The 27,700-nt window shown below is 36.4% G+C and overlaps 2 protein-coding genes and 1 long non-coding RNA gene across 9 annotated transcripts in view, besides 2 other annotated features; 2 read left to right on the top strand and 1 right to left on the bottom strand.

Moving 5' to 3' along the window:
• LRRTM3 (leucine rich repeat transmembrane neuronal 3) overlaps positions 1–23,352 on the bottom strand; it is a 175,516-nt gene extending 152,164 nt beyond the window's left edge. The window contains exons 1-2 of the mRNA NM_178011.5: positions 22,801–23,352; positions 20,936–22,467 (exon numbers count right to left, since the gene is read on the bottom strand). Coding sequence (NP_821079.3) covers positions 20,936–22,467; positions 22,801–22,804 — 1,536 coding nt within the window. The 5' untranslated portion in view covers positions 22,805–23,352. The remainder of the gene's footprint in view (positions 1–20,935; positions 22,468–22,800) is intronic.
• Positions 1–27,700, top strand: part of CTNNA3 (catenin alpha 3) — a 1,851,072-nt gene that overhangs the window by 814,207 nt on the left and 1,009,165 nt on the right. The window contains exon 10 of one of the 7 annotated variants that reach the window (XM_017016152.2): positions 7,323–7,442. The exons of the other annotated variants lie outside the window; for them this stretch is intronic. Within the exon in view, the coding sequence (XP_016871641.1) occupies positions 7,323–7,442 (120 nt within the window). The remainder of the gene's footprint in view (positions 1–7,322; positions 7,443–27,700) is intronic. 7 annotated transcript variants of the gene reach the window in all.
• LOC101928961 (uncharacterized) overlaps positions 1–27,700 on the top strand; it is a 118,044-nt gene that overhangs the window by 62,766 nt on the left and 27,578 nt on the right. The window lies entirely within an intron of this gene.
• Positions 23,109–23,965: an enhancer, noted in NCBI's record as "OCT4-NANOG hESC enhancer chr10:68685181-68686037 (GRCh37/hg19 assembly coordinates)". NCBI's record gives its function as "activates a minimal SCP1, AML or CMV promoter by ChIP-STARR-seq in naive H9 embryonic stem cells {active_cell/tissue: H9 hESC(naive)}" and the evidence as "EXISTENCE:reporter gene assay evidence [ECO:0000049][PMID:30033119]".
• Positions 23,380–23,489: a silencer, noted in NCBI's record as "silent region_2413". NCBI's record gives its function as "represses an Ori minimal core promoter by ATAC-STARR-seq in GM12878 lymphoblastoid cells {active_cell/tissue: GM12878}" and the evidence as "EXISTENCE:reporter gene assay evidence [ECO:0000049][PMID:35858748]".

The following is a 27,700-nucleotide window of genomic DNA, read 5'->3' as shown; positions in this document are numbered from 1 at the left end:
ACGGGGTTTCTCCATGTTGGTCAGGCTGGTCTCCAACTCCCGACCTCAGGTGATCCACCTGCCTCGGCCTCCCAAAGTGCTGGGATTACAGGCATGAGCCCACAGCACCTGGTCTGGCCATAGTGATTTTTAAAGGGGATGTTTATCATAATATTTCCACAACTGATAGTTTCTCAGTAAATTTATTATTGATTTGGCAAAATATATATTTGAATAAATACTAATCATAGAAATTTGCCTGCATTCTTTCATATTGCTGAATGGCTCCATTGAATACTTTAGGAATGTTATCAATGCAGATTATAAATTTTTGCTAATGTTTGACAATAAATTTGTTATATTTGTTTGCAAGATTACATGCTTTTTCCAGAGTCTCCTAATCAAATAGCTTTAACAGCAAAGAAAAAAATAACACAATTATAATTTATCTGATCTGGAATTATGTCTTTGTTCTCAAAATTAATACAAAGCCTAATTAAGAGACCCACACTTGACACCTTCTCCTCCCTCTCTTTTACTGAAAAGAACATTTCACTGAAGTATTATATTGGACTGCTTTATGTTATGATTTATGGATTCACATTGAGTTTCTGGGATTTTTTTTACTTCATTTTAATAGGATCATAGGAATGAAGGGAGCAAATAACAGATTGTTATCATTTAATATGTTCAATTTCATCAGTTGGTGTGATTGCATATGTGGTTTACCAGTCCAGGATAGAACACCCCATGTCCTTGTGGTATTCTTCCTGTAGATATAAATTTTATAATGAAAATGAGCCATGCTATATCTTATGGTTAAGCTCCATAAATCAATGACTCTTAGATAAATAACACATTAATAAAATCTTCCCAAGTAGATCTTTAATTGAGAGCATTGAAAATAAGAATCGGTCAGTTGTCACAAAGTGTCACATAACACATGTAGTAACAGGTCTGCTCTCTTAAAAACGCATCTCCATGTTGTTACGCAAGTGCATTTGTCTTTTATCCTATCCTTGATCTAGATATTTCCTAGACATTCTCCCCATTCTGTCCATTTTGCTTGTTGGAAAATATCTTTGGTCAATGCATTCAGAAAAGCTTTATTAAAACTTTCTTTGTACATGGTACTATGTTATACGATGCCTCAACTACCAGGTTTTTCAGTCTGTCTGATCACAGTTCACCAAGTGGGCATAATTTGAGAATTTCGAGAAGAGCCCTCTCCCTAAAATATACAGTGATGCACTACAATAACAATGTTGTGGCCAATGAGGGACTACATATATGATGGTGATCCCACAAGTTATGATATTGTGTTTTTATCCTACCTTTTCTATGTTTAGATATGCGTAGCTACACAAATACCATTGTGTTACAAATGCCTACAGCATTCTATACAGTAACTTGCTATACAAGTAAGTTCCTAGCCTAACAGCAATAGCCTATACCATATAGCCTAGGTGTGTAGTAGACTGTCATCTAGGTTTATGTAAGTACACTCTGTGATGTTCGCACAATGACAAAATTGCCTAATGATGCATTTCTCAGAACCTATTCCTGTCGCTAAGCGCCACATGACTGCATTTTCCTCTCTTGGCCAGCCTAACTTAGTGTCAGTGATTAAAATTTTTTCTTTAAGAAATAGTATATTTTATTGAGTTAATCTGTATTTTCCCTAAATTTATCAAGATTAAAAAAAGAAAAAAATATTTGAAAACAGAATGAAAGAAAAAGTATGTGAAACCAAGGGTGAGAAAGGTAGGGAAAAAATACAAATTATGAAGTCCTAGAAACTTATTAGTCTCTGGAAATTTATTAGTGTTTGTCTCTGATGCTTTTTTATATTTTCAGCAGGGGAGAGGGAGACAGAGTGAGAGAGGGTGGGGGAAACAAAGAGGGCAGGCTCAGTTGCTTAAATAACAACACATTTTAAAATAAAGTTATGTAGAAGAAGCAGAACCATTCCCCTTTCCCCATGGACCCTCATAAAGAAAATACCTTGTGATATAGTGAAATGGTAATTTCAATAATGTTCTAATAGTAAAACCAGCATTGAGTGTGATAGCTCTGTTTCTTAGTGTCCTTTAATATAGTGGGACCTCAGAACAACTCAAGAAATGCATCTGTACAAGATACCCCATTAGAGAGTAATCAGAGAGTAATTGGTCCTCTAAGTTACAACACTGTCCTGGGGCCATACCTTGGAAAGATAAAGATTTAGGCATGAACACCTTGGTGTAAAGTAGTTTATGCAAGTTTTTTCTAATACAATCATTAGAGTAGGGCTGGCTTTCTAAGTTGAAGGCCAGAGACAGAAAGAAGGCTGCCCTGGAGAGATTAAGTAAAAGTCAGGGATTTGGGGCTGAAAACAAGGGCAACTTAAAAAGATGATTACCTCAGTGTCCTTCTTGGAGCTGGTTGTGTACATGAATAGATTTTAAAAATGCAAAATATTCTAAGATTAAGATTTACCAGCGCCAAGAAAAGAGACTGTAGGAAAATTTTCATTAGCAATTCCTGAGTCATTCATGCTGTGGAATACATGAAAAAAGAAGTTTATCAAGAACTTCCAAGTACATACGTAGATCCATCATTTGAATAAGAGGGGGATTAATTCTATGTGTGTGCCTGGGTGTGGTGGGGAGAGAAAATGGGGAGGGACAGAGATGAGAAATATGTAGTTCTACAACTACACTCAAGAATATAGATGAATCTTGTAAAACATGATGTCAAATGAGAAATAAGTGAGACTCAAAAGTACATGCTTTATGATTGCGTTTATGTAAAGTACCAAAACAGATAAAGCTACCCTATGCTGTTACAGGTAACAGTAGTGGTTACCTTGGGTATGGGAATAGTGATTGGAAGAACTAGAGGGGGCTTTGAAACACTGCTGATGTGTTCTGTTTCTTGATCTGTGTGCAGAGAACTTGTGTGTGCTCAGTTATTCATCAAGCTGTACATTGACCATATGTGCACTTTTCTCTATGTATATTATATGCCAACAAAAAAAGTTTTTGTTTAAACTATACAAATGTCTCTCACATATTAAAATATTGCTAACTTAATTATGCTGCTGCTATCCTTTCTCAACTTTCCAGCATGCAGGTCAAAATGTGATCACTATTTCCAAAGAATAAGATAATTATCATTGGATTCCAATTCTCTCCCTCTCTATTTTCTCACAGAATTAATTATCCAACAGAGTGCAGGCACACCTCATTTTATTGTACTGCATTTTATTGCACTTTGCAGATATTATGATTTTTACAAACTGAAGTTTTGTGGCAACCCTGTTTCAAGCAAGTCTATGAGCTCTGTTTTTCAACAGCATGTGCTCATTTCATGTCTCTGTGTTACATTTTGTTAATTATTGCCACATCTTTAAACATTTTCATGATTATTATATCTATTATGGTGATCTGTGATCCATGATCTTTGATGTTACTACTGTAATTGTTTTGGGGTCCTTCAAACTACAACCATAGAATCTGACAAACTTAATCAATAAATATGTCCTGACCGCTTCACTGACCAGCCATTCTCTATTTCCCTCCCTTACTGTGGGCCTCCCTATTCCCTGAGACACATCAAAGTTGAAATTTCACCCATTAATAACCCTACAGTGGTCTCTAAGTGTTCAAGTAAAAGAGAGTCACATTTATCTCACTTGAAATCAAAAGATAAAAATGATAAAGCTTAATGAGGAAGGCATGTTGAAAGCTGAAATAGGTTGAAAGCTAGGCCTCTTTTGCCAAATAGCTAGCCAAGTTGTTAGTGCAAAGGAAAAGTTCTTGAAGAAAATGAAAAGTGCTACTCCAGTGAACACATGAATGATAAGAAACCAAAACAGACTTATTGCTGATATGGAGAACATTTTAGTGGTCTGGAGAGAAGATCAAACCATCCACAACATTCCCTTTAAGTCAAAGCCTAATCCAGAGTAAAGCCCTAGATCCTTTCAATTCTACAAAGGCTGAAAGAAGGGAGGAAGCTGCAGAAGGAAAGGTTGAAGGTAGAAGAGGTTGGTTCATGAGGTTTACAGAAAGAAGCCATCTTCATAACATAAAAGTGCAAAGTAAAACAGCACAACGCTTGAAGTGGAAGTGATGATGTAAAAGCTGCAACAAGTTATTCAGAAGATCTAGCTAAGATAATTGATGAAGGTGGTTACACTATACAACAGAACTTTAACTTACACTAAATAATCTTCTAGTGGAAAAAGATGCCATCTAGGACCCCCATAGCTAGAGAGGAGAAGTCAATGCCTGGCCTCAAAGCTCCAAAGGACAAGCTGAGTCTCTTGTTAGAGGCTAGTGCAGCTGCTGACTTTAAGTTGAAGCCAGTGCTCATTTACCATTCTGAAAATCCTGGGGCCCTTAAGAATGATGCTAAATCAACTCTGCCTGTGCTGTGTAAGTGGAACAGCAAAGCCTGTATGATAGCACATGTGTTTATAGCATGGTTTACTGGACATTTTAAGCCTCCTGTTGAGTCCTAGTGCTAAAAAAAGATTCCTTTCAAAGTATTACTGCTCACTGATAATGCATCTGGTCACCCAAGAGCTCTGATGGACATATACATGGAGATTAATGTTGTTTTCATGCCTGCTAACAAAGCATCCATTCTGCAGCCTATGAATCAGGGAATAATTTTGACTTTCAAAGAGTATTATTTAAGAAATACCTTTTATAAGTCTCTTGCTGTCTTGGATGATAATTCCTTTGATGGATCTGGGCAAAGTAAATTGGAAACCTTTTATAAGTCTCATGCTGCCTTGGATAATAATTCCTTTGATGGATCTGGGCAAAGTAAATTGAAAACCTTTAAGGTAAGAGTCACCATTCTAAATGTTGCTAAGAACATTCGTGATTCATGAGAGGAAGTCAAAACATCAACATTAATAGGAGTTAGGAAGAAGTTGATTCCAACCCTCATGGATGACTTTGAGAGGTTCAAGACTTCAGTGGAGGAAGTAACTGAAGATGTGGTGGAAATAGCGGGGAACTAGAATTAGAGATGGAGTGTGAAGATGGAATGGAATTGCTGCAACCTCATGATCAAACTTGAATGGATGAGGAGTTGCTGCTTATGGATGAACAGAGAAAGTTGTCTCTTGAGATAAAATCTTCTCCTGGTGAAGATGTTGTGAATATTGTTGAAATAATAACAAATGATTTAGAATATTTCATAAACTTATAAACTTATTTGATGAAGCAGTGGCAGAGTTTGAGAGGATTGACTTCAATTTTGAAAGAAGTTCTACTGTGAATAAAATGCTATCAATCAACACCATATGCTATAGAGAAATCTTTCATGAAAGAGTCAACCAATGCAGCAGACATCCTTGTTATCTTATTTTCAGAAATTGCCACAGTCACCTCAACTTTTAGCAACCACCACCCTGATCTGTCTGCAGCCATCAACATCAAGGAAAGACCCTACACCAGCAAAAAGATTGTGATTCTCTAAAGGATCAGATGATCATGAGCACTTTTTAGCAATAAAGTATTTTTAAATTATAAGCACATTGTTTCTTTGACATAGTGCTACTGCACACTTAATAGACTACAGTACAGCATAAACATAGCTTTTATATTCACTAGGAAACCAAAAAATTTGTGTGACTCATTTTATTGCGATATGCACTTTATGGTGGGGTTCTGGAACCAAACCTGAAATATCTCTGAGGTATGCCTGTATTTGTTTTCCCCTGCTGTACAAAAGTACAAAACTATGTTTAAGTAGCATGTTTAATTCTTGATGCCATTATTACCACATAACATCTTTATATTTTTATACAAAACACCTCGCCGTGAGAGTTTCTTAAGGCTGTGCTTAGTGTTAACTGGAAGCCAATGCTAATACTGAAAAAAAAAAAAAGGGTGGGGGAATTGGATTTGGGATCAGGATGTAGATAGGCTTCCCAGGATTTCAGGAAAAAAATTCAGAACAGGAAAGAGCATCTTGAAGATATACCATAAAAAGATGGTCTTTTTGAGTGGTATAGTCAGTTTCTAATTTAAGAGTAATTTCTCTCTCAGATGTGTTAAAGTGTAAAAAAAAATCTAATAAGATTTAACACTTCAAAGTCATTAACTAACTAATTAACTAATGAATCCACACAACAGCTCTATGAGGTTTATGCTAAATATCTATCATTTCACAGATCTTGTGTCATTTAGAAACTCTTCTAGCTTTTCTCGTCTCTGCTCTTTTCAAAGTCTTTAAAAAGAACGAATTATTTTCATGTCTCCAGTGAAGGACATGTATCAAATTTGTCTCTTGAGAAAATCCAATGCTTTGTGAAGTAAATTTCCAAAGCCAGTCAATTAACTCAGTGCTTTTCCTATTAATGTGACTCCAAATTTCTGATATCCCTTGCCCTGAGAAGCTATTTTGTTTGCCCTGGGAAGAAAGAAAAGTCAACCTATGTGCCTGCACATTATAGGTGCTCATTAAGTGCCCATTGGAATTCTTCCTTTGTAACTCTTTGATTAATTTGCTTTTGCTTAATTTAGCCATCATTTCACAGACTCTACTGGAATTTTTAAAAACATAAATATTGATATTGTGTTTTCTTCCTTTAAATGCCTAAATTATTTCACACTAGAAATGTAATAGTTACTAAGTTCTCAGACCATTTTGGTTTACTGTAATAACAATAGCATGTTCTCTTGAGTGCTGAGTATGGGAAGGTGTGATATGTCCATGTTTGGGGTAGAGAAAGGAAAGAGAGAGTGAGAAAGTGAGGAAGGAGAAAAAAGGGAAAGAGAGAGACACATGCACACACACGCAGACACACACACACACATACACACACACAGAGAGAGAGAGAGAGAGAGAGAGAGAGACATTATGGCAATGTTTTAAAGAGAGATTTGTAGGATAATGGAACTAATTCCTCAAGTAATGTTTATGAAATGGAAATGATGTTGAATTACTAGAAGAAACACAATACTAACAACAGAATTTTTCTGTTGTGTTGCTGAACAACATTGTTACAGAAGAATACTTAATAGAGCAAGTCCATTAAAGGATATTAATAACGGGCTTGCAAATTGCTGGTAGATCCTTTTCAGGTTTGATTTAATAATGATTGGTAAGCGTCAAGGACATTTAATCATTTTTTATATATTGCAGACTTGGCAATTTATGTGTTTAATGTGAGAATTTCCACTTCACCACTTGAATCAACTTGCTGCATTGTGAAAATATCTAGCAAACGACAGGAGAAAACTAACTTTTACTGACACCTGCTGTGCCTGCAAACATATGTTATCTCAATTTATCCTCAAAATTGTGCTGGGACATGAAGTATTGTTCCCATTTTACAGATGAGGAAACTGATACCATGCCGTGCTACCAGGCTAACCAAAACTGCACCCCAGGTTTATTTAACTTCAGGTCTAGTGGATTCGAAGTCTACGATCTCCCTCCTACACCATGAAATCAAAGTAAGTCTTCCACGAACAGACTTAATTTGAAAACCTTTAAAACTCTGCCGGCCCATCTATCTTAAAGTGGTTTTTTTAGGTCATCCTCTGTATATGCTGATGTACTGATATAATAAAAACTTGGATATAAGAACCTCTTTTGTCATTTTTTGCTTTTGTCTTCTAAGATGTCATTTGTGTGCTCCCTCTTTCAGCCACACTCAGCTCACGCGGCTTGAATTCTGGCTGGCACGGGCAGTGCGGTCAAGGCTGCAGCTGTTAGCATCCCCTCCTCCCATGCTCATCATGAGTTCTGCAAATGAGCCCTGCAGACTGATATCGTGTTCTGCAGTTTATTTGACAAATAGCTTTTATGGCCTTTGATTTTTTTTCAGATCACTTATAAATTCTAGCAACAGACAGGTTGTTTGTCAGATTCAAATTCCATACAGTTGAAAGGAAAGAGGTGAAGATTCCTGCGTTCAAAGTGGACTCTAACCTTAAGATTTATTTGTAAATTTTACTTAAAATTACCTTGAGAGGAACCTAAGATATTCTCCTGGCAGTGCCTAGTTGCAAATTATTTCTATCCTTATGTCATAAATCTTGATAATAAGTCTTTTAAAATGCACTCGAGAAATGTATTTTGTGTTTATAGTGCTGGATTTTAGTGAGTCAAATTGTGTTCAGGCAGTATGTTTGCCTCTTCATGTTCTGTGTGACACTGGAGTAAAATGGAGACTTCAGTCATTCAGCTGCAGGCTCTAAGAAAGTCTGTTGTAACTGTGCATTTTAATTAACCGACTCAGCTGAGGAAATATTGTCTCTCTACTGTGGTGTAGCTGTCTGCCTTGTAAAGTACCTCCCTGGATAAACAGAGGACTTTTATTTCTTAAACTGCCTTTCCCCCATCGTCTTTAAGAGTATGTTGGGCTTTCTTTTTTTTATTAAATTACAGGTGGAGAAGGTTTAATTAACTCTAAAATGATTCTTCAGCAAACTCAGTTGCATTTTTTTACAACACTTTGAGCTACGATATAGTTACTGCAGGCTGCATACTGTTATTGGAGCATACAGAAACATTTAGAAACCTAAATCTGTTTTGTCATATTACCAGAGATGGCATCTGCACTTGGGTACAGTTGAAATACAAACTGAAGATCAGATAAGTTTTTTTTTTTGTTTAAACCAGTCAGTGGGCTACTGTGAACTGAGCTAACAAAATGGGAATAATTTAGCCATTGATTACTTTGTACAACACACTGCTGGATCTTAAAACTGAGTTGAATGTGAGGAGATAGTCATAGTTCAAGGAGTTATATGCAAATTTGACCTCTGGAAATATAATTTGTGGGTTTCATATTTAAAGCTGCTGAATACATTTTGTCAGAAACCTCTTGCTTCTATGATTAATTATAGATTAGTTAACCACTGGACTTCTTTTATTCAGTCATCATGAGACACTCTATGCAAAATATACATATATTTTTTAAGAGACATGATCTTGCTCTGTTGCTCAGGCTGGAGTGCAGTGGTGCAATCGTTGCTCACTGTATCCTCCCTGGGCTTAAGCAGTCCTCCCACTTCAGCTTCCAAGCATGTGCCATCACACCCAGGTAATTTTTTTTCATTTTTTGTAGAGATGAGGCCTTGCTATGTTTCCAGACTGGTCTTGAGAGCTCAAGTGATCCTCCTTGCCTCGGCCTCCCAAAGTGCTGGGCCTATAGGCATGAGCCACCTACCACACCCAGCCTATGTGGAATTTTTGAATCTAAAGTAGATTAATGCAAATTTCAGAACAACGTTTTCCATCTTTTCAAACTATGCGCTCTGGAGCCCAAGATTCTCTACCTAAGTTGGACCAAGCAGATTCCAGTACTGAAAGCAAAAACAAACACAAAACCTAACTACTTATTTTACTGTTCCTCTTTAAAAAGAATGAAAACAAAGAAGAATTAAAAAAAAAATTAAGTAACCACTGGGTTTATCTTAAGCAAGATGCGTATAGGGGTAAAAAATGATGCAGTGACCACAGTGAAACCATGAAGTGGATAACAAAGAGAGAACTTGAGGATTGCAGTTCTTGGAAGATTGTTACAAGTACAATGAAATTAGTTTGGAATTTCAAATAGAAGGTAAAAAAAATGGACTGCAAGGTTCTCAAAAGTCCTTATAACTACAAGTTTTTATAACTAAAGTGAAGTTTTATTTCAATTTGTTTATCACGTATGTTCCAAAAAAGAATCCACTCTGTGAATGACAAAGTTTACTGTGGTCCAGAGGCTGACAGATACTTCACATGAAAAGGGATATGGATGGTCTGTAAGTCTGCCCTACCTTACAAATTGTAATTAAAATGCAACTTAAAATATATTAGGGAAGAGGTCATTTTTATTTCTAAAATTAAACTATAATTTACAAAATTATAGTTCTTCATTTATAGGCCCAAACAAAAGAGTTGAATACAAATAGAATTTTTCCCTCCTTTTACATTAAATTATTAGATGGTGTCATTTTAATTATTGCTTTCATGAGAGATAAAACTATTAGTATTTTCCTTTTAACTCAGTTTGAAGGCATATATCCAAGTTGTATGGATTGACTTAAAAGTTGGATAGAAAGAAAAATTGAAAGAAATTTTAAGTGGAGATGAGAAAGAGAAAAAGAAATGTAGTGCAAAGGAATAAAGGAATGAACAGAAGGGAGGAAAGGAGAGACTCAGAAAAGGGAAGATGCTTCAGTTCTGTATGATCTAACATGCCTTCTGCATGATCAGCTTTTAGGAGGTAAAAAAGATGAGCATTACTACTTGTCAGCTTCTGAGTGTTGGAGGCCTCCAGTAGAGTAGTTACTTTGGAAACGCGTAAAATCAGAGGCCAAGACCTAGTTTCTGTCATAGCGTAGGGTGTTCCCTTGGTGTGGGTAAGAGAGGAGAGGCCTCAGAATGCATCTAAAGCTGAATCCTTGCAGAACTGGGGCTGAGATAAGGAGACATCCAAGCTAAAGAGCAAAGGACCTTTCTCAGGAGGATGTGGACGGGGAGAGATCACAAATGTATGGCTTTTAAACAAACGTTGACTACCTAGCCTCTACAAAAATGAAGGTGTATTCGCAGCTAGACTTAAATATTATTTCTTTGTCTCAATTTTTTGTAGCTCTTATTCCCTTTAACATATCCCTCCAAATGTTCATAGCTTTGGTAACTATCACAGGAAAAAATGATTGGTAGATTATTCACAACACACAAGCAATTTAAATCAGAACATGATCCTTTAAAACTGTATTTTCCTAAGAATACGATTAACCTTTGGACAATATGGGTTTGAGCTGCATGAGTCTACTCACACGTGGATTATCTTCCGACTCTGCCACCCTGAGACAGCAAGACCGATCGCTTCTCTATCTCCTCCTCAGCCTACTCAACATGAAGATGCCAAGAATGAAGACCTTTAGGATTATCCATTTCGCTTAATGAATAATAAATATATTTTCTTTTCCTTATGATTTTCTTAATAATATTTTCATTTTTCTAGCTTACTTTATTATAAAATACAGAATAAGATACATATATAAAATATGGGTTGACTCTTTATATTATCAGTAAGGCTTCTGGTCAACAATATGCTATTAGTAGTTCTGGGGGAGTAAAATATTATATGGATTTTTGACTGTATGGGAGGGTTTGTTCTCTTGACCCTCACATTGTTTAGTGGTCAGCTATAATTTTTGAAGCCCGTTAAATGGTAAATGAGAAGAGTGTACATAGTGAAAAAGTGTATATTAAATTAAAACTAAAAAAAGTTTTTATGACTACACAAAGAAATATAAGGTTGATACAATTAAGTTTCCATAGAGTTGAAATGTTTACTGTAGATTGTTTGCAATAATAACTTCATAATAATGACCAGAAAATCAATTCAACAACATCTATCATGCATAAAAGACTGTATCAGCCACCATTGGAAGAAGAAGGAAAAGAAGAGATTATCCATTTCCTCAAATCGTGATACAAACCCCTTAATAACTCTAACATAAGGTAGACTGTGATGCAGTCTCTGGGAGAGGGGGAAAAAAAACAGAAAAGAGGGAAGGAAAAGATTAATAAGACATCTGGAGTGAGCAGAATTTGATCTATTCTGGAAAAGCTCAGAAATTGACTGGAGGACTTGGGAGGGAGGAAGGGCATTTCTCACAAAGGAAATTGCTTGATCAAAAGCACAGAGATTGGGAAGCATGGGCTACTTTGAGAACCTGCCAGTGGTAGAGCATGGGAAAGGGTAGGGCAATAAAGGTGGTTGTAGCTGGGCTTTGTTGGGAGGCTGAGGACATTGGTTTTATGTACTACCATCACTCTTCAGTATTAACTACGTGCCCAGATGCCCTTGAGCTTATGGAAATTTAGATTCTATTTCCGGAAAGTCCACCAGGAGTCTGTTATTCAAAATAAAAATAGGTAGTGTAATATGACTTTCAAAGCGCATTGTGGTACTGAGATTTTTAGCAGTTGGAACTAATGAAGGGAAGGAGAAAGTATTATGTGCCAACCTTTGTATTAAATGATTTTATCTACATCATCTCATTGAATCTTCATAGGATCTTTATGAGTATTAGATTATATATGAAATGTACCAGGAAAAATATTTAACAAATGCTGATTCTTTGCCTTCTTGCAACAATCCCATGATAACTACATTGTTTTACACATTTTTATTAGGATGACGATGTTGAGACTCAAGGTTTCACAGTTACTAAAATCCCAGAAACAGAATTCAAACTGGATCCATAGTCCAAGTTCTTTCTGGTATACAAAGTTGTCTCTCCATGAAAAAAATTTAAGGAGAAAGACTTTGTATAATGGCGATTCACTGAAAAAAAAATTCTCAAATATAGTTTATTGAATGAAACATGGATTATTTACCCTGCCTTGGCTCCTTTGGAAAGGCCCAAACTCATGTTTGAGAAAAATACTGAGGAATCTATAGAGGATGATTTCAGAGTGCTTTACAAAGGTCTTTGCCTAAGAAGAACTTTCCCCAACCCTGCTGGCTATGCCTGCTCTTAATATATAACTTTCTTACCTTTAGCTGAAGACTTTCATCTCTATTTAAAGGTGAGTGCCCTTGGAAGGGACAGTAATCCTGCTCTCACTCTGGGAGCAGATATTTGATAACGCATAAGAAACCAAGAAAGCTCTGGGCACCACTGGATGGAGGAATTTCAATATGGATACTACTTCCAAATAGAGAAAATACATGGAAATGGGATGCTGAGAAGACACAAGGCAGACATCTCAGAGTTGACTAGATTGCGCTGTAGAGTTCAATCTAGTCCATCTGTCCGATGACTCCAACCATGAAACTGACCCTGTGACTTTCTGACAGGATCAACATTTGATTGGGAATTCTAGAAAAACAGGCAAGGCAGTGCACTCAAAGAATTAAGATCTGCAGGCAGAAAACAACAGAGAAACAAAACAGAACAACCAAAAAACAAACAAACAAAAAAACACCAGGAAAACCTATTAGAAATAGGAAAATAGAAGGAATGTCAGCTTAAATTTAAGAATGTGATGGCAAACTTAGAGGAGGGTAAATTAGCTTTCAAGAAAGTGAATTACAGGATCTCCATCATTTGGGATTTTTTTTTTAACATTAAGAAACGTATAATGTGAGCTTTTGGCTATTTTGAAATCTACTTTGACTTTCTCTTTTCGTCTATATCTAGCTTAATGCTCTTGCATTTTAGTGTAAACTAATAAAGACTCCACACATCTGTGTGTGTTAGACCATAAAAGTGACCAGAGTAAAGCCCATAAAAATATATGTAGATTTTTACATTTTATTACTTAGTCCTCCCTGTAAAAGTCCAAAAGACTAAACACTTACTGCTTTTTAATGAATGACATGAGATAGGCTGGAGTGGGTGCCACAGGCTGGAAGGAACACTATACTGGCAGATTAGACTTTAACTAGCAGAGGGATGTTCTAATGGTAAATCATCGGAAATTATTTCCTAAAGGGATCTGGAGATGCATGATTTGGCTTTGAGAAGCCTTTTGTGGGTGGGGTATAAATTATTTTAGAGCAGTCCTATAAAGAAGTGAAAATGTATAGGATTAATGAGTGAAACTTACAGGAAGACAGACTCAATATAAAGGGCTCTGTTCTTATATTTTAAGGAAAACTATCTGAGTTTACGAAACGCATAAAACACTTTTTATCAAATCATTAGATAATATATACAAATTCCTGGTACATAATAAGGACTCAATTATACCAAAATATCTTCACATTATAGGAAAAATATTCACCTAATAGGAAAATATATATATATTTTTTTAGGCATGTACAACATACGTACCTTGGTGGAAATACAAATACGTATGTAATATGTCCTCTGCCATATTAGAAAGATCTTTAAATATTCCATTTTAATCATAATTCAGTGATGTTACCTAACCCTCTATTGGTGCCAGTACACAAACCAAGTATTTATACCTTTCACATTAAAATTTTGAATACATTAGGCAAAATCCCTTTCATAAATTGACAAGTACATGCCAACACTAATCTCAAAGCGCTGAATTTTAAACTTCTTGGAGAGTTTTCACTATGGTAAACTTCCTAGAGTTTTCACCGTTATAACTATTTTCACTGTTGTACCTTAGAGAGGTTTCACTGTTGTAATCTTGTCACACATTTATCAGAATTTTAAAAGCTACTCTACTTTTTCAATATCAACATGATGCATTCTACAAGTTTCCTTTAAAGCTCTTGTGAGATTCTGGTTGACTGCATCAAATATTAATGAGGGAAACTTATAGGAAGACAGTCAATATGAGGGCTCTGTTGGTAAGCATATTCTTTCTTTTAGAAAGTACATAGATCAATATTAATGACAAGGAGCACTTTTTTAGCTACATGAGGGCCACCCAGTTGAAGCTATGAACACCACTCAAGGTAGCATAGCCTCATGATACTGTAGCTTCACTGTCTGATGACATTTTCATTCTGCTCCCACTTCATTAATAAGCTTTAGCACCAAGAATGCTGACTAAGGATTTACATTTAATTGAAGTCATTGCCTCCTTACTGACAAAATGTATTTTCCACCCTGCATAGATGTAATTGATGTGATGAAATGTCAACAAAAATTGCCTTTGCTAAATGTAGTATTTGCCTTACTATTTTATATGCCAGGCCAAAAAAACTATATTTTACCCTTGAGAAGACAAAATTCTGATTGTTGGAAAGAGTGTTTCTGATTGGTGAAATATAGTTGAGTACCCCTATACATAAAGTCCTATACTTTGTTTTCTAGGAATTAGCTAATTAAGGAGGAAAACAGTAAGCTTTAATACTTTGTAAGACTGTAATTCAACTATATATCCTGTTTTTTCAATTGCAAATCATAATATACTGTAGAGGTGTTTTATAGATTGTAGAGGAAAGAGAAGTGTCAGCCAGCTTTAAATTTGTTTTATGTCCTAATATTTAATGCAAGTGTGTAACTTTTCTTTTGGAGATAATGCTGCTCTTTTGAGCCAAATGACTGAATTGTGTTGGTTTATAAAGGAAGACATTTTTTGGTGATATAGGAATTACAGACTCTTTCAAATAAGGAGAACAATTTAAGAGTGAGAGAAAGGATAAATGAGAATCCTGATTGGGAGAAGTGAGAGCCCTTAAAAATAAAAAGAAAACATGGAGAATTGTTAATAAAGTTATTAATTATCATTACAACATTTGCTGGAAAGGATAAGATAGAAGCTGTTTTTCTTTTTTTTCAATAAAATGGATTATTATTGCTTATAGAAGTTCTGTTGTTAGAAAGTATAATTGTAAAATACATTGTACTTGCTTGGTCTTATATCATGTCCCAGATATTCCTGTTCTCTCTGTGTTCCTGGAATTTTCCTCACGTGTTCAGGATCCCTAACTCAAGAGCGTCCATTCATGACCCTATGAAGTTAAAATGTCAGAAAACTCACAACTGCTTCCCCACCTGAAAAACCATCATCCTCTCTCTGATCTTTAGATATGCCATAGGAACTCAGCTGTCAAAGAGGAACAGTCTGTGTCTTCTTAAATGACAAACATTTTGAAAATACACCTGCTACTTCATATTGGTAAGAGCAGCTACATCCAGCGGAGGAAGCCTTTTGTCATTCTTTGATGAATTAATGATGTAATTTTGCATAAGCAATGACATATAAAAGGAAGTCCCTGTACATTTATACCCCTTTTTATCCAGTGATTTTTCAATAATTATAATTGATAAAGTCAATAGTAATTTCTATACTAAGAGGAGATCTTGGGCACAGTCTTCCACTGGAGTGGCCAGGGGAGAAACATCAGAGCAGATATCATGTGACTGATACCTGGAATGCGTGCTAATCCTACAGTAACATGTTATATGCAATTACTTTTTGCTCAATAATGATGTCATGTTGCCATATAAACATTATATTGATCCAGTGTAAAGTCAACAAGGATTGAACACAATGATACTAGAAAGGGAGTGGACAGGTAAACGTCCTGATTGAAAGCCCTTGCTATAGTTGCCTGATCTGAAATACAAGTAGAATTTTCAATGTGTTTGATAATTATTTGTTTTAGTGTTCGCTGGTCGGTGTCTTTATGTCTGTTGTACATTGTGATAATCAGTATAAAAATCATAGACTTAGATAACATGAGGTGGAAGAAGCTGTGCCTATGTGAAAACAGAAAGTCAAAGACGATGTTCTAGACTTCTAATGATGTAAAATGGGCTTGGGGTTCTGTAACATGGAGGTTACTGATTTCTTTTTGGCTCATGCCAAACATAGAACAACAAACCCCACTCAGTATCTCACTAAGGGCTTTTTGAAAAGAAGAGGTAGTTGCCATTTTAGAGTTTACAAAGTACTTTTCACATTTCGTCCTCCCAATTACCATGAGCAGTCAATAGTACACATCTGTGTTACATATGAGAAACTTCAAATTCAGAAAAGCCAGGAAATGTACCTGTGATGACTTGATTAGCAAGTGTCAAAGGAACTTGAATTTAGGTCTTAATTTCTAAGGCCCGTATTCTACCATGCCTGGCTGTGATATTTCCCTCAAATGCAAAAGAATCATAAATTATTGTTATTTAGATTTTATTGGTAGTATTAAGTATCCAAAATCATCACCAACTTTTGGAGGCTAAAAGAATTTGGGTCCAATTCTGTAGGCTATTATGATTAGGAAAGCAGTGACTTTCACCTATGTATTATTATTATTTCTTTAATTCATTTTTAATTAGAGCTATTTGATACAAACTATTTAACATCCATCCATTTTATTTCTCTTAAAACTTGTGTCATTCAAATTTACCTATATATTCTGTTGTGCTCATTGTTTCCCCCAACTGCCTCTGATTTTTAGTGTAGGTAGCTAGGAGAATACAACAATAGCAAAACTCCGTGGGTTAGCTACAGATCTGGATTCTAATGAGAATCCAGAGCAAAAAGGAATAGATGAAGCAACACAGATTCTGAATTTTTTATTTCTCATGGCTCGATTCTTACTTGCCATGTCTGGAACTCACTTTATCTCAGGCTTCATGACCTGATGCTTGTTTCTGATGCAGTCTAATCCACACTTTAAATAAACGATTTGAGTTCTCATTTTGGTAAATGTCAAGGGAAGAAGAGATATTTCATGCACCTACAGCATCCTAAAACCTCTTGCCAAATCCATGAATCTGACTCTGCATTATCCTTCCCCAGAAGGAGAGCATAATTTCATTATCCATGAATCATCACCTCTTAGACTGTAACATCATTGTCAGAGAGCCTAATAGAACCAGTGTTCAGCTGGCTGAAAAGGGGGAGGGAGGGAGAAAGCGCTGAGGCAAAGCACAGGTCACTGGCACAATCAGCAAACTGGAGAGTTCTAAAGCCGGAAGGGGAGGCCCCCCTCCTTTGACACCTTTGACATATCCCTGACCAGTAAATGACTGATGCTGACTCTTTTGATATAATATTAAAATTTGTTTTTCCTACCTAAATTACATGTATCTTGCTGATGAAAAATATTAACCCCTTTAATAAAAATATCAAAATGCTTAGCCAGCATCGATGAGTATAAGCACTCTAAAATATTTCTTATCTATTCTTATTGCGTTATTACTCGCTTTTCATCTTGGACACTTATTTCTAGCCTTCAGTACCAATTCTATGGCCTCTGTTCCAGCATTACTATAAAAGTCAAAATGAAAAGTATAACATTCAAAAATTACATTATAATTATATTTCCCAAGGAAATGAATTAAATAAAATTCAAATCTGATTTACTAGTCAAAAAACATGTTGTAAACCACGTTTACATAAGGATTCAGGATAAAAAGCTAAAATGTGTGAATAGCTGTGGTTAGTCTAACCAGACACTAGAGGTCACTGCTGCTCCATAGAAAGACAATTTACTGCCTGTCTACTTAGGTAGTTCACTCACCAAATCAAGTAAAAAATTGTTTAAATTCTTTGAAAAGATGTAATGTCAACGTCCTTGGAAAATACAAACTCATTTCAATGCAATATATCTTGCATAAGTATTGCTTACAAGACTGTGGCACTGGGACTATTTAACTACATGCTGTGGTAGCACTATGTGTACTGGGGTTAATAAAAATGGAAAAAAACTCACATGAAGTTTAGAGACTAAATCCCATTTCTTCTCTGTTTTGGTAAAGCAAAGTATTCTGTGTTCTGTTGTATAGTTCAACAGGTCAGGCTTTTTTTTTTTTTTTTTTTAACTGTTGTCACCTTTGAGGGAAGTCCAATATTTTATGTAAATACGTACTAGAAAAATAAATATCAATCACATTTCTCTAATCTGCATGAACTTGAAATACTTATACAAATAGATTTATGATATGTAGTCCAGAAAGTACCATGGGATGGAGGTGAGGCAACAACTTTTGAGCAGGAGACTGGCAGTTGGCGTTTTAAAATTTACAGTGGTAAACTAGTTATTAAATCTACAAGAATTATATATCTGTGCTCAGAAGATACTGAGAATTACAGAAGATTCATTCTCAAAGAGTGAGGAGAAAGAAAGAACTTTTTTCCCATAATTTCATGTCCCAAATCAAAATGAGTTTTACCACCTAAGGGATTTTATTTTCGTTCTTATCTATTATTATGTTTATTAGTAAAGTTAGGCATTAAAAAGTGACAGCTTTCAAAATATTGGTGATTCATTTAGTGTTATATCATATTTTATATTCCAAGTAGCTTTGAATTTTAGGAATGCTTTTCAATACAGCAAGCATATTTTATATATACTAGTAGCACCATGGCATTGAGAATTTGCAATAATTCAAAAATATAAGTATTCCTTGCCTAAATATATTTGGTATCCATCACAAGTAAGGCAGAAGGTTAAGTGAAAAAGAATAGAAATGGGGTTCTTCACTTTAAGACTGCATTTCATTAATACAAACATCTTTAGTACAGATAAAAATGAGGCTAGCCAAAGAAAATTTCTTTTTAAGATGGAATATGTATTTACTGATGCTTTATGAAAAATGTAAAGTTACAACTTCAGTAAAAAAATCACAATAAGCTCAGTCATCCAGTAAGCTGTGAGGAAGTATCTGCATTATTAATCCATTGGAAATATGTGACTTTTTGTCATGAATACATGTATATTCAACAATTATTCATGGGTAAACATTGTAACTAAGATGTTTTTCTGAAGTGGCATCTATTGTAAGATTTAATCAATATCAAAGTACCTTGAGAAATCCACTTTAACTATTTCTTTTTCTTTATTGCTTATAAAAGTATGATTTTAATGATCTGGCATCCTTAAAATTTTATTTTATGGTGACTTGCCTAGATTTTTCCTCTCAGCATATGAAAAACCCCCAAACAATAAAAAAAAATTAGTAAAAATAGCCATTCACTTTTTCTTTGTTGCTGCAGTGATTCTGTTTTCAGAGAAGAGGGACATGGTTAAAGATGTAGGGGTTGGCAAGCCAAATTAAATGAAACAGCCTCAATGTTGCAGTTCCTGATATTTGCTTCTATAATAGAACTGTTCATTTTGGAGGATGAAGGAGAATACAGACTAAATATATCTTTCTAAAAACCTTAATTGACTGTGGTTCAAGTTACTCAAATATGGAAGCTATGATATTCGTGCTGCAGTCAATAAACTTTCACCAATGACATAAAAACATGCATGCAGCTTGCAGATTGCCAACAGGGTCTGTACAGAACTGTACTGATGGATGAGTTCACAATACAGATGAACGCAGGGACATTGTAATGTCAGCAATAGAAAAGCAACAGAGAACTGTCATAGTGTTGGTCTTTTTTCCTCTAAGATTCGTTTTATACATTTATTAAGGTGTTATCAAAGTCGTCCTTTTCAATGAGGCTGTGGGTGGAAGGCACGTCTTGGAATGTGTTCTCTTTACACATCTGAATGAAGTGTCTGTCATTAGGGGACTGGTGTGTGCAGGACATGTAATGGAACACAACAGGGCAGCCTGACAAATTCTGAACAGAACAGGACAGAGCTAAGGATTCTACTAACTACATTAGGGTCTTCGAAAAAACTGGAAAGAGAAATTCTGGTAAGCTCTCAACCACATGCCTGTAGCAAGCTGCTTTCCCATTCGCGAACCTTATCTGAAAACTCCCTAACTAATGTGAGGTGTGGTGGAGAAATCTGGCTTCTCAATGCTGTTTCATTTATTTATTTATGAAACATACAGGCTAGAAGAAATTGGCAGTGAAACCTCTAGTCTGATTTTACAGAGATGGGTTTCAGAGACAAGGCTGAGTCGAAAACTTTACATTTTTGTCATCTCCTCACATTTTGCAGTTGTCTGCTTGCAGTATTTTAACCCTTCATCACTTTGTCCCTGTGCTTGCCTTACTGTAATTCAGACACCTCTGGAAACTGCTCAGGGTGCTGCTTTAACCTAGCACCATCTTTTGATAGTTTCCTGCAATTTTCTTTTCTAAGTCAGGCATTGGTTTAAAGGCTCTGCCTGTCTGTAAAATGTTCCCATAACTGAGTCATCTCCAAGAATCAGCTCAAGCTCCGAGCACCTGGAATCATTCACCTCTTTCCTTGATTTGCCAGTGAGGTGCAAACCTTCTATAACTGTAGATTTGGTCCCACCAGGAGGCTAACAGCGAATGTGGGGGATTACTTATGAAAGAAGTTTTATCTTAAAACAAATGCGACATTAATGGAATCAGTAAAGGGTCTTATACAATAGGTATTATATTAAACCGGAGTTCAAGCTTCACATTGATTGTGGTATTTAAATTTCAATGGGTTGATTATGTATGAGAGGAAAATGACCAGTATTATGAATGCACTAAAACGGACAAGGAAGGATCTTGCCAGCAAAGTGAGAGGGAGAGGGAAGGGGAGGGGGGGCATCGCGTTCCCTTGATAGTCACCAGAGTTCAATAAAGCACCACTTATTTCCCAGCTTTTAAGAGCTCTTTTTATCACAATGGTTCATACCTCACACTCCCTGGAGCCCGATTTGTTATAGGTGCAGGGTCCCGTCCCATTCAGCAGCATCTCGCTGGTCTCCGTGTTGGTGGGTTTATAATCTACATAAAATTCCTGGGTGCTGGGAGTCATTTGCTTTAGGGACTGTCTTTTCTTTTTCCTGTGCCTTCGCATGAGGGAGCGCTGCTGCAGCTGCTTCATGCTCGCAGGGTACCGCTTCCATGACACGTAGATAACCAGCAGGATGACGAGCACGGACAGGAAAAGCGCCACGCTGCCCGCGATGATTTTATGGAAAGAGATGTGCTCGGCGTCAGCATCGGTCTCTGGGCCGGGCTCTGTGGCTCCCACCGTCGGGGGCAAAGGGGGTTTGCTCTCATGCTTCGGCCTGGGGAGCTTGGGCTTAAACGTCGGCTTTGGGAGAGCCCTGGCCAGATCAAACCTCTCTGTAGTACTTTTGCCACAGATGCTGTAGTTCTTCACTGCATCGATCACATTTACTCCTTGCAGCTCTTTGGGACTGGCACAGATAATTGTATTCTCCCTTAGACCTTTAAAACTTTTCAGCCAGTTTACAAGGGAGCAAATATTTCTGCTGCATTCCCATATATTCCCAGCAAGACTGATGTCATTGAGGGATATCCAAGAATCCAAAATCTCTTGACCAATAAATGTGAGCTTGTTGGAATCCAGGTTGAGGCGCTGCAGATTCGGGACACACTGGAAAACACTGGGTCCACTGAAAGCTTCGATCTCATTGCCTGATAAATCAAGCCTTTGTAAGGAGCTCCAGGTCCAGGACATGGTCTGTCCTATGACACTGATTTTATTCCACTGCAAGTAAAGGTTCTGAAGGCTGACCAACCTTGGAAAAAGGGCCAGGTTGAGCTTGGAAAATTGATTGTGCTCCAGGTGAAGTTCTTTGAGTCTGATCATGCCAGCAAAGACATTCCTGGCTAAACTTCGGATCCGGTTATATCCCAGGTCCAAAAGTTCCAGGTTGCGGCAGTCTTGGAATATTCGCACAGGGATGGTTCTCAGGGAGTTAGACCGTAAATGTAAACTCAGCAGCTTCCGCAAGCCCCGAAACTGTTCAGATCCCAGAGAATGCAGCTGATTATAGGACAGATCCAAGTTCCGTAAATTTGTCACAGGTCTGAAGGTATTGTTAAGAAAATAGGAGATTCTATTGGAACTAAGAATCAGCTCTTTGAGTCTGCGTATTCCATTAAAAGCATTTTCGTCAATATTGCTGATATGGTTATGGTCAAGGTATAGCCAGGTGAGCTGGTTGAGCCCTTTAAATTGATTATACTTAAGTTTTTGAAGGCTGTTATAGCGAAGGGACAAACCTAAGCAACCAGCAGATATACTTGAGGGTATCTCCTGTAATTTCTGAGATTCACAATATACCATTTTGCCTTCACACCTACAGCCCTTAGGGCATCCTCGTTCGGCAGAAGAAAGCATTGTCAGTAAGACAGTGGGGGCTATAACCAGTGCTACAGCTGATCCGCTCAGTAGCCTAATTACATTGAAACCTGGAAATAAAAACAACTTAGAAAAGTTATCCCCCCAAAAAAGAATTAATCCTTAATCAAGCAAAAATAGGCATATATTTTTCATTTTTAAAAATTTAAATCTAAATAACACTTAACATCACATATTATCTCTTTGTAATTAAAGAGAATTGTCTTTAGTGTTTTGTTTTTTTAAATAGTTAAACAAGGAAACATGCCACTAAGCAAATAAATTCATAGTCTTAGAGCAGAGCAAGGTAATCTCTAAAATAATTAAGGCAGAATTATTACACACACTAGAGGTTTTTTGTTTTTTGTTTTTAAGAAGGAAAGAAGAAAAATGACAAAACATACCCATCCTTTGTATTGTTCAAAGGTCGTCCTTAGGTCTTTTGCTTTGGCTTAGGGGCCAGTTGCATGACAGCCCCTGTCAGCTGCACTGTAGTGAGTCAGGGCTCGCTGACACCCAGGAAGAAAAATTGGACCCCTTGGGAGATGGACCGATTTTGGAACATTATTCTTTGCCAGCCACGCAGAACACTCCAAGAACAAATAAATCCCAACACCGCATTCGCAGCAAAACATCAAAATCTTCCTAGGTAATAGGATCTTCATGGATATTACGTTTTTGCATCTTTACAGTTTTTTGGGGGGTGGGGAGGGGGCGGTTAAAAAAAAAACTGGATCCTACAATTTCTTCTTATCGAAAAACATGATGTATTCTTCCAGGCAATTTGGGGCTACCTGAGCTGCCACATCTGTATTCCATACCCCAGCAGTTCCCGTGATGAGCACCCAGTTCAGCCACAGAGCTGCGTTGGAGCCCAGAAGGCAGGAGAGCCCCGTACCGCGCACACGCTCAGCTCACTTCTGCAGACTGTCATTCTGAAAGCTGCTCGGACTGTTGCTTTGGTTTCAGTGAATGCAGTCTTATGTAAAGCTGCCCCCAGTGGTGAAGAACATTATGGGCATGTGCAGAAATGTCTCTCTTTTATCTTGCAAATGAGCAGGCTCTCTGCTGGAAAATGAATGATTCTTTTGGGTGGCTCAGTAGGAACTGAATGGTCACCGTGATCAATAACTAGCAACATTTTCTGTGATTTCCAAGTCTTGTTTTACAATTTGGCAACGTCTTTATTGTCTGTGTCCACTTAATTGCTAAACATGTGCTGCCCAGAGTTTTTCTGGAGCTTGACATTAAGTTCACAGACCGAACGTCAATTTTTCTTAACCTCAACGCAGGCTTTAAACTGAAATTTATAAAATGAATTATTGAGCTTTTCACAGAGAAGCATTAACTGCCTGCCCATTTGACCTCTTGGAGTCACAGTGATTATATTATGCAAGGTGTCTCAGGATGTTAGAACACAAACATTTTGGAATAGAGGGGATGACTGATGACAAGTGAATTAATGTGTCCAATAGCCTTTCCGGTTTTCTCACAGACGATATAATTGATTTTATGGCTATAGTTTCGTTTGTTGTTTTGGTTGTTGTAATTCTCTTTTAATTAGAAGGGAAATAAACCATTTTTAGTGTTAGGATACGAATCAAGAGATCATTTGGTTCATACTTTATTGATGTTGCTGCTATTTATTACACTAATAATATTTATGGAGCACTTTCTAAGTGCTTTAAATGGGCTACGTTGTTTTCTCTTTAAACAATAGTATGATGTGGGTCCTATTATAACCTCTCTTTTAAAGATGAGGAAACAGACTTGGGGAGGTAACTTTCTCAAGGTCATACAGCAAGCGAGTGCTAGAGCTGAGCTTCAGAAGCGAGTCATTCTTATGCCGAACCACTAACCACTAGATGATCCTGTTCAACAACATTGTTATCTTCATTTAAAAAAGAAGTCAGTGAAAATGAAGCCGATTAAAGGATTGGGGCAAGGAAGCTGTGATTAGCAAATTCTTGCTTGTTCTATTAGAATTGCCTAAATTTCTTTTGGTCTGAGGTTCCTAAAGAAGTATAAAAACTAAGGCAGCGTAGTTTAGTGATTAACAGCATAGATTTTGGCACCTAGATTCCAACTCCTGGCTACAATTTACCAGCTATGTAACCTTAAGCGCGTTACTTACCTTCCCTATGCCTCAGTTTTCTCATCTGCAAAACGGGCATAAAAACAAAAACTCACTTCATGTTTTGAGAATTAAGTCATTTTAATATCTGTATGTTACTTAGAACAGTGTGTTGCATGCAATAAGCCTGTGTAAGATATTTGAATAATATTAACTTTATTTGTACTTGCTAGGATTACGTACTGAATATTGACTATACTGACCTTCATTAACTCACAAAGAACAACTTTAGTGAGCATTTTTAAATATTGTACATGGTGGATTTCTGAGATTTACTCAGTCTTGCCTTCTTTGATGAGATAACTTCCTTTATGTTCATCATCTGAACTTTATCTTTAAAATAAATCTTCTGGTTCTGTGGATCATGACTAATAATGTTCGATTCTTTTCATCTCCAAAGTAGAACATAATAACATCTGCCATGTAGAGGCATTTTATTTAAAAATAATGGTATTCTTGAAAAAGTTTGCCTTGTTGTTTTTTGTTAGGTGAACTGTCTGTGGAAAACCGTGGAGAGCTTTCACATTCTCCAAGGATGAGATGTTTGATAAAGGCTAGTAATGACAATCAAAAGGGGTCCTACAGATATAGTACAATGGATATTACCAATTCCTTGGGCAGTATGTTCTTAATAGGGCAGTGCTTTCCCCCAGAGTTACCTAAGCTGTGAATGCACATGAAACATCCAGTGAGTTTCTTAAAAAGATAGACTGCCCAATCCCTCCCCCAGGATTCTCATTCTAGGGGGATGGAAGAGTGTGTGCTTTTCAATAGTCTCTGATGAAATAAGTTTAAGAAACTCACTGTGAAGGAATGATTAAAAATAATATTTTCTCCTAGTAGGAAGAGAGGGTTTGCACACTTATAATACTGAGATGTAAGTTCCACAAGGACAAAGACAATGTTTTGTCTACTTCATTTTTCCTAATATCTACAACAGCACTTGGCACATTGCAGACATGCAATAAATAGCTATTGAAAAAAATATGTTTTTATATCAGTCACAAGTACAATGGATATAGTATAACTGATTATGTAATGTTCAACATTTGTACATGGGATTGAGTCCTGAAAATTTCCTCAGTCAGTGAGACTGGAAACAATTTTGGAGAAAGTATTCTTAAAGGAGGTATATACAAAGACAAAAACTAGAAAGTGAGAAAACTTAGTTGATCAGAAAGTGATCTTTACTTTTCACAGATATCTTGTCTTCATAGTTAAACTACAAATTTCATGAGAACAGTAAATATGCTTTTGACTATTCTCCTTTGCACAGCACAGAAGGGTAATACTGAACCCTTATCATTTAATATCCCAAATGGGCTTGACAACTTGTATCTCTCAAAAACAGACTAATGAGAATTATATTGATAACTTCTCTCTCACACCTCTGTTGCTTGAAAGGCTCTGAGTTTTCCCCTCACTCTCCCACGTAGTCATTGAGACATCTGTTTTGCCCAAGAGCTGCAGAGAGCCACTCCAGGAGGCTGGAGGACCCATTAACTTTGTGCTTCTTGCTCATCATACTTTACTTCCCATTGACAGAAGAACAGAGGAACCCACTGAGAATGTGGGCTCTCACTTTGCTTTTCCTGGGATAAATCTTCTTGAATTATTTACGGTGAATATTATTCTCTGCTGTGTTACACACATTGCTCTTAGTTTTCAGACATTTTTCTTTTATCTTGGTTCCTGATCTTATCTTACTGCATAGTTCTGACTTTACACCTACCCTTTGGATCTTATGATTAATATTTATTTAGTCTTAATACTAACAACTGAGGGTATAAAATATTAGAGTGAGTAAATAAGACCTAGTATTGGCTAGCACAATGGGGTGACTATAGTCAATAATGAATTAATTGTGCATTTAAAAATAACTAAAAGTATAATTGGATTGTTTTTTATACAAAGCGTAAATGCTTAAGGGCATGGATACCACACTTACCCTTATGTGATTATTACACATTGCATGCCTATATCAAAACATCTCATGTACCCCATAAACATGCACACTTACTATGTACCCACAAAAATAAAAAATAAAATAAAAATAAAACAAAACTATATGACAGGAATGATGTGCTACAACAAAAATTGCTTTGGTAGCAATGTATTGATTGACAAGGAAAAATGTTCATAATGAAATAATATTAAGGAAAAAAATACTGACCATCAATCTCTTTCTCAACAGTAATCAGTAGCCACTCTTGGACTGAGTCAGCCTCCAGGAACTGTGTATGGCCCCTACTTTGGCACGACCCCTTAAGTCGGCATCACAACCAGGTCTGATCTGGTTCAGGATAATAAATTGTTTGAAGAGGGAAGATTATCCATGAGGCTAGTTGAGAAATCCAAAACAAAATAATGTGATTCTAAGCCACACTGAATACTTGAGGCTGCAGAAGTTACTGCAAAGACATAGAGTAGTCCCTCAAGAGAAAAAGAAAAGACTGTGTTCTAAAAGATTTTAGTAATTTGCCTGTATACTTTTTAAAAGTTTTTTCTCCTTTTACTTGTCGACTATAGCGAGCTGATTATTTCTGATTTGCCTTTCAGCAGAAGCAAAATTATATTGCATTATGTATTTAGAAACTAGCAACTTCTTTTGCACTTAATATCGCATACAGAACAAACCGTAAACTACCTGACGAGTTAAATATCCCCAATGCATCCAGGGCCTTAATGATTTATACAATTATAAAAATAGTGTCATGTATCTAAAGACTTTTTATTTTATTGTGCTTATAGGACTTCAAATAGCTAAACATATTTTGTTTAAATTGGGTAAATAAATCAAATCTCAGTTTGGCAATACTGCCAAATTTTAGTCCAATATGAAACTGAGTTGCCAGATATAAACTTAGAAATTCATAACTGAAAGAGAATGGACTGATATCTTAACAGTTGTTGACTTCAGATATTTTATTTATTTTACAAATATTTAATTTGAATAACCATTGTGTGCTAAACACTGTTCCAGACACTGGGAATACATCTGTGTGCAAAATAAAGGCCTGTACCCTTGTGAAGATTACATTCTAAAGGGATAAGACAGACAATTAAAAATAAACATATACAGTATATTAGTAGGTCATATGTACTATGAAAAAAAAGAAAAATATAAGGAAGATTGGGAGTGCAAGGTATGAGGTGGGCTGAGTTTTAAA

Source organism: Homo sapiens, chromosome 10, assembly GCF_000001405.40.
Source record: "Homo sapiens chromosome 10, GRCh38.p14 Primary Assembly".
NCBI lineage: Eukaryota > Metazoa > Chordata > Mammalia > Primates > Hominidae > Homo > Homo sapiens.
The sequence above is the reverse complement of the archived record's forward strand: the minus strand, read 5'-3'. Positions and strand labels throughout refer to the sequence as shown.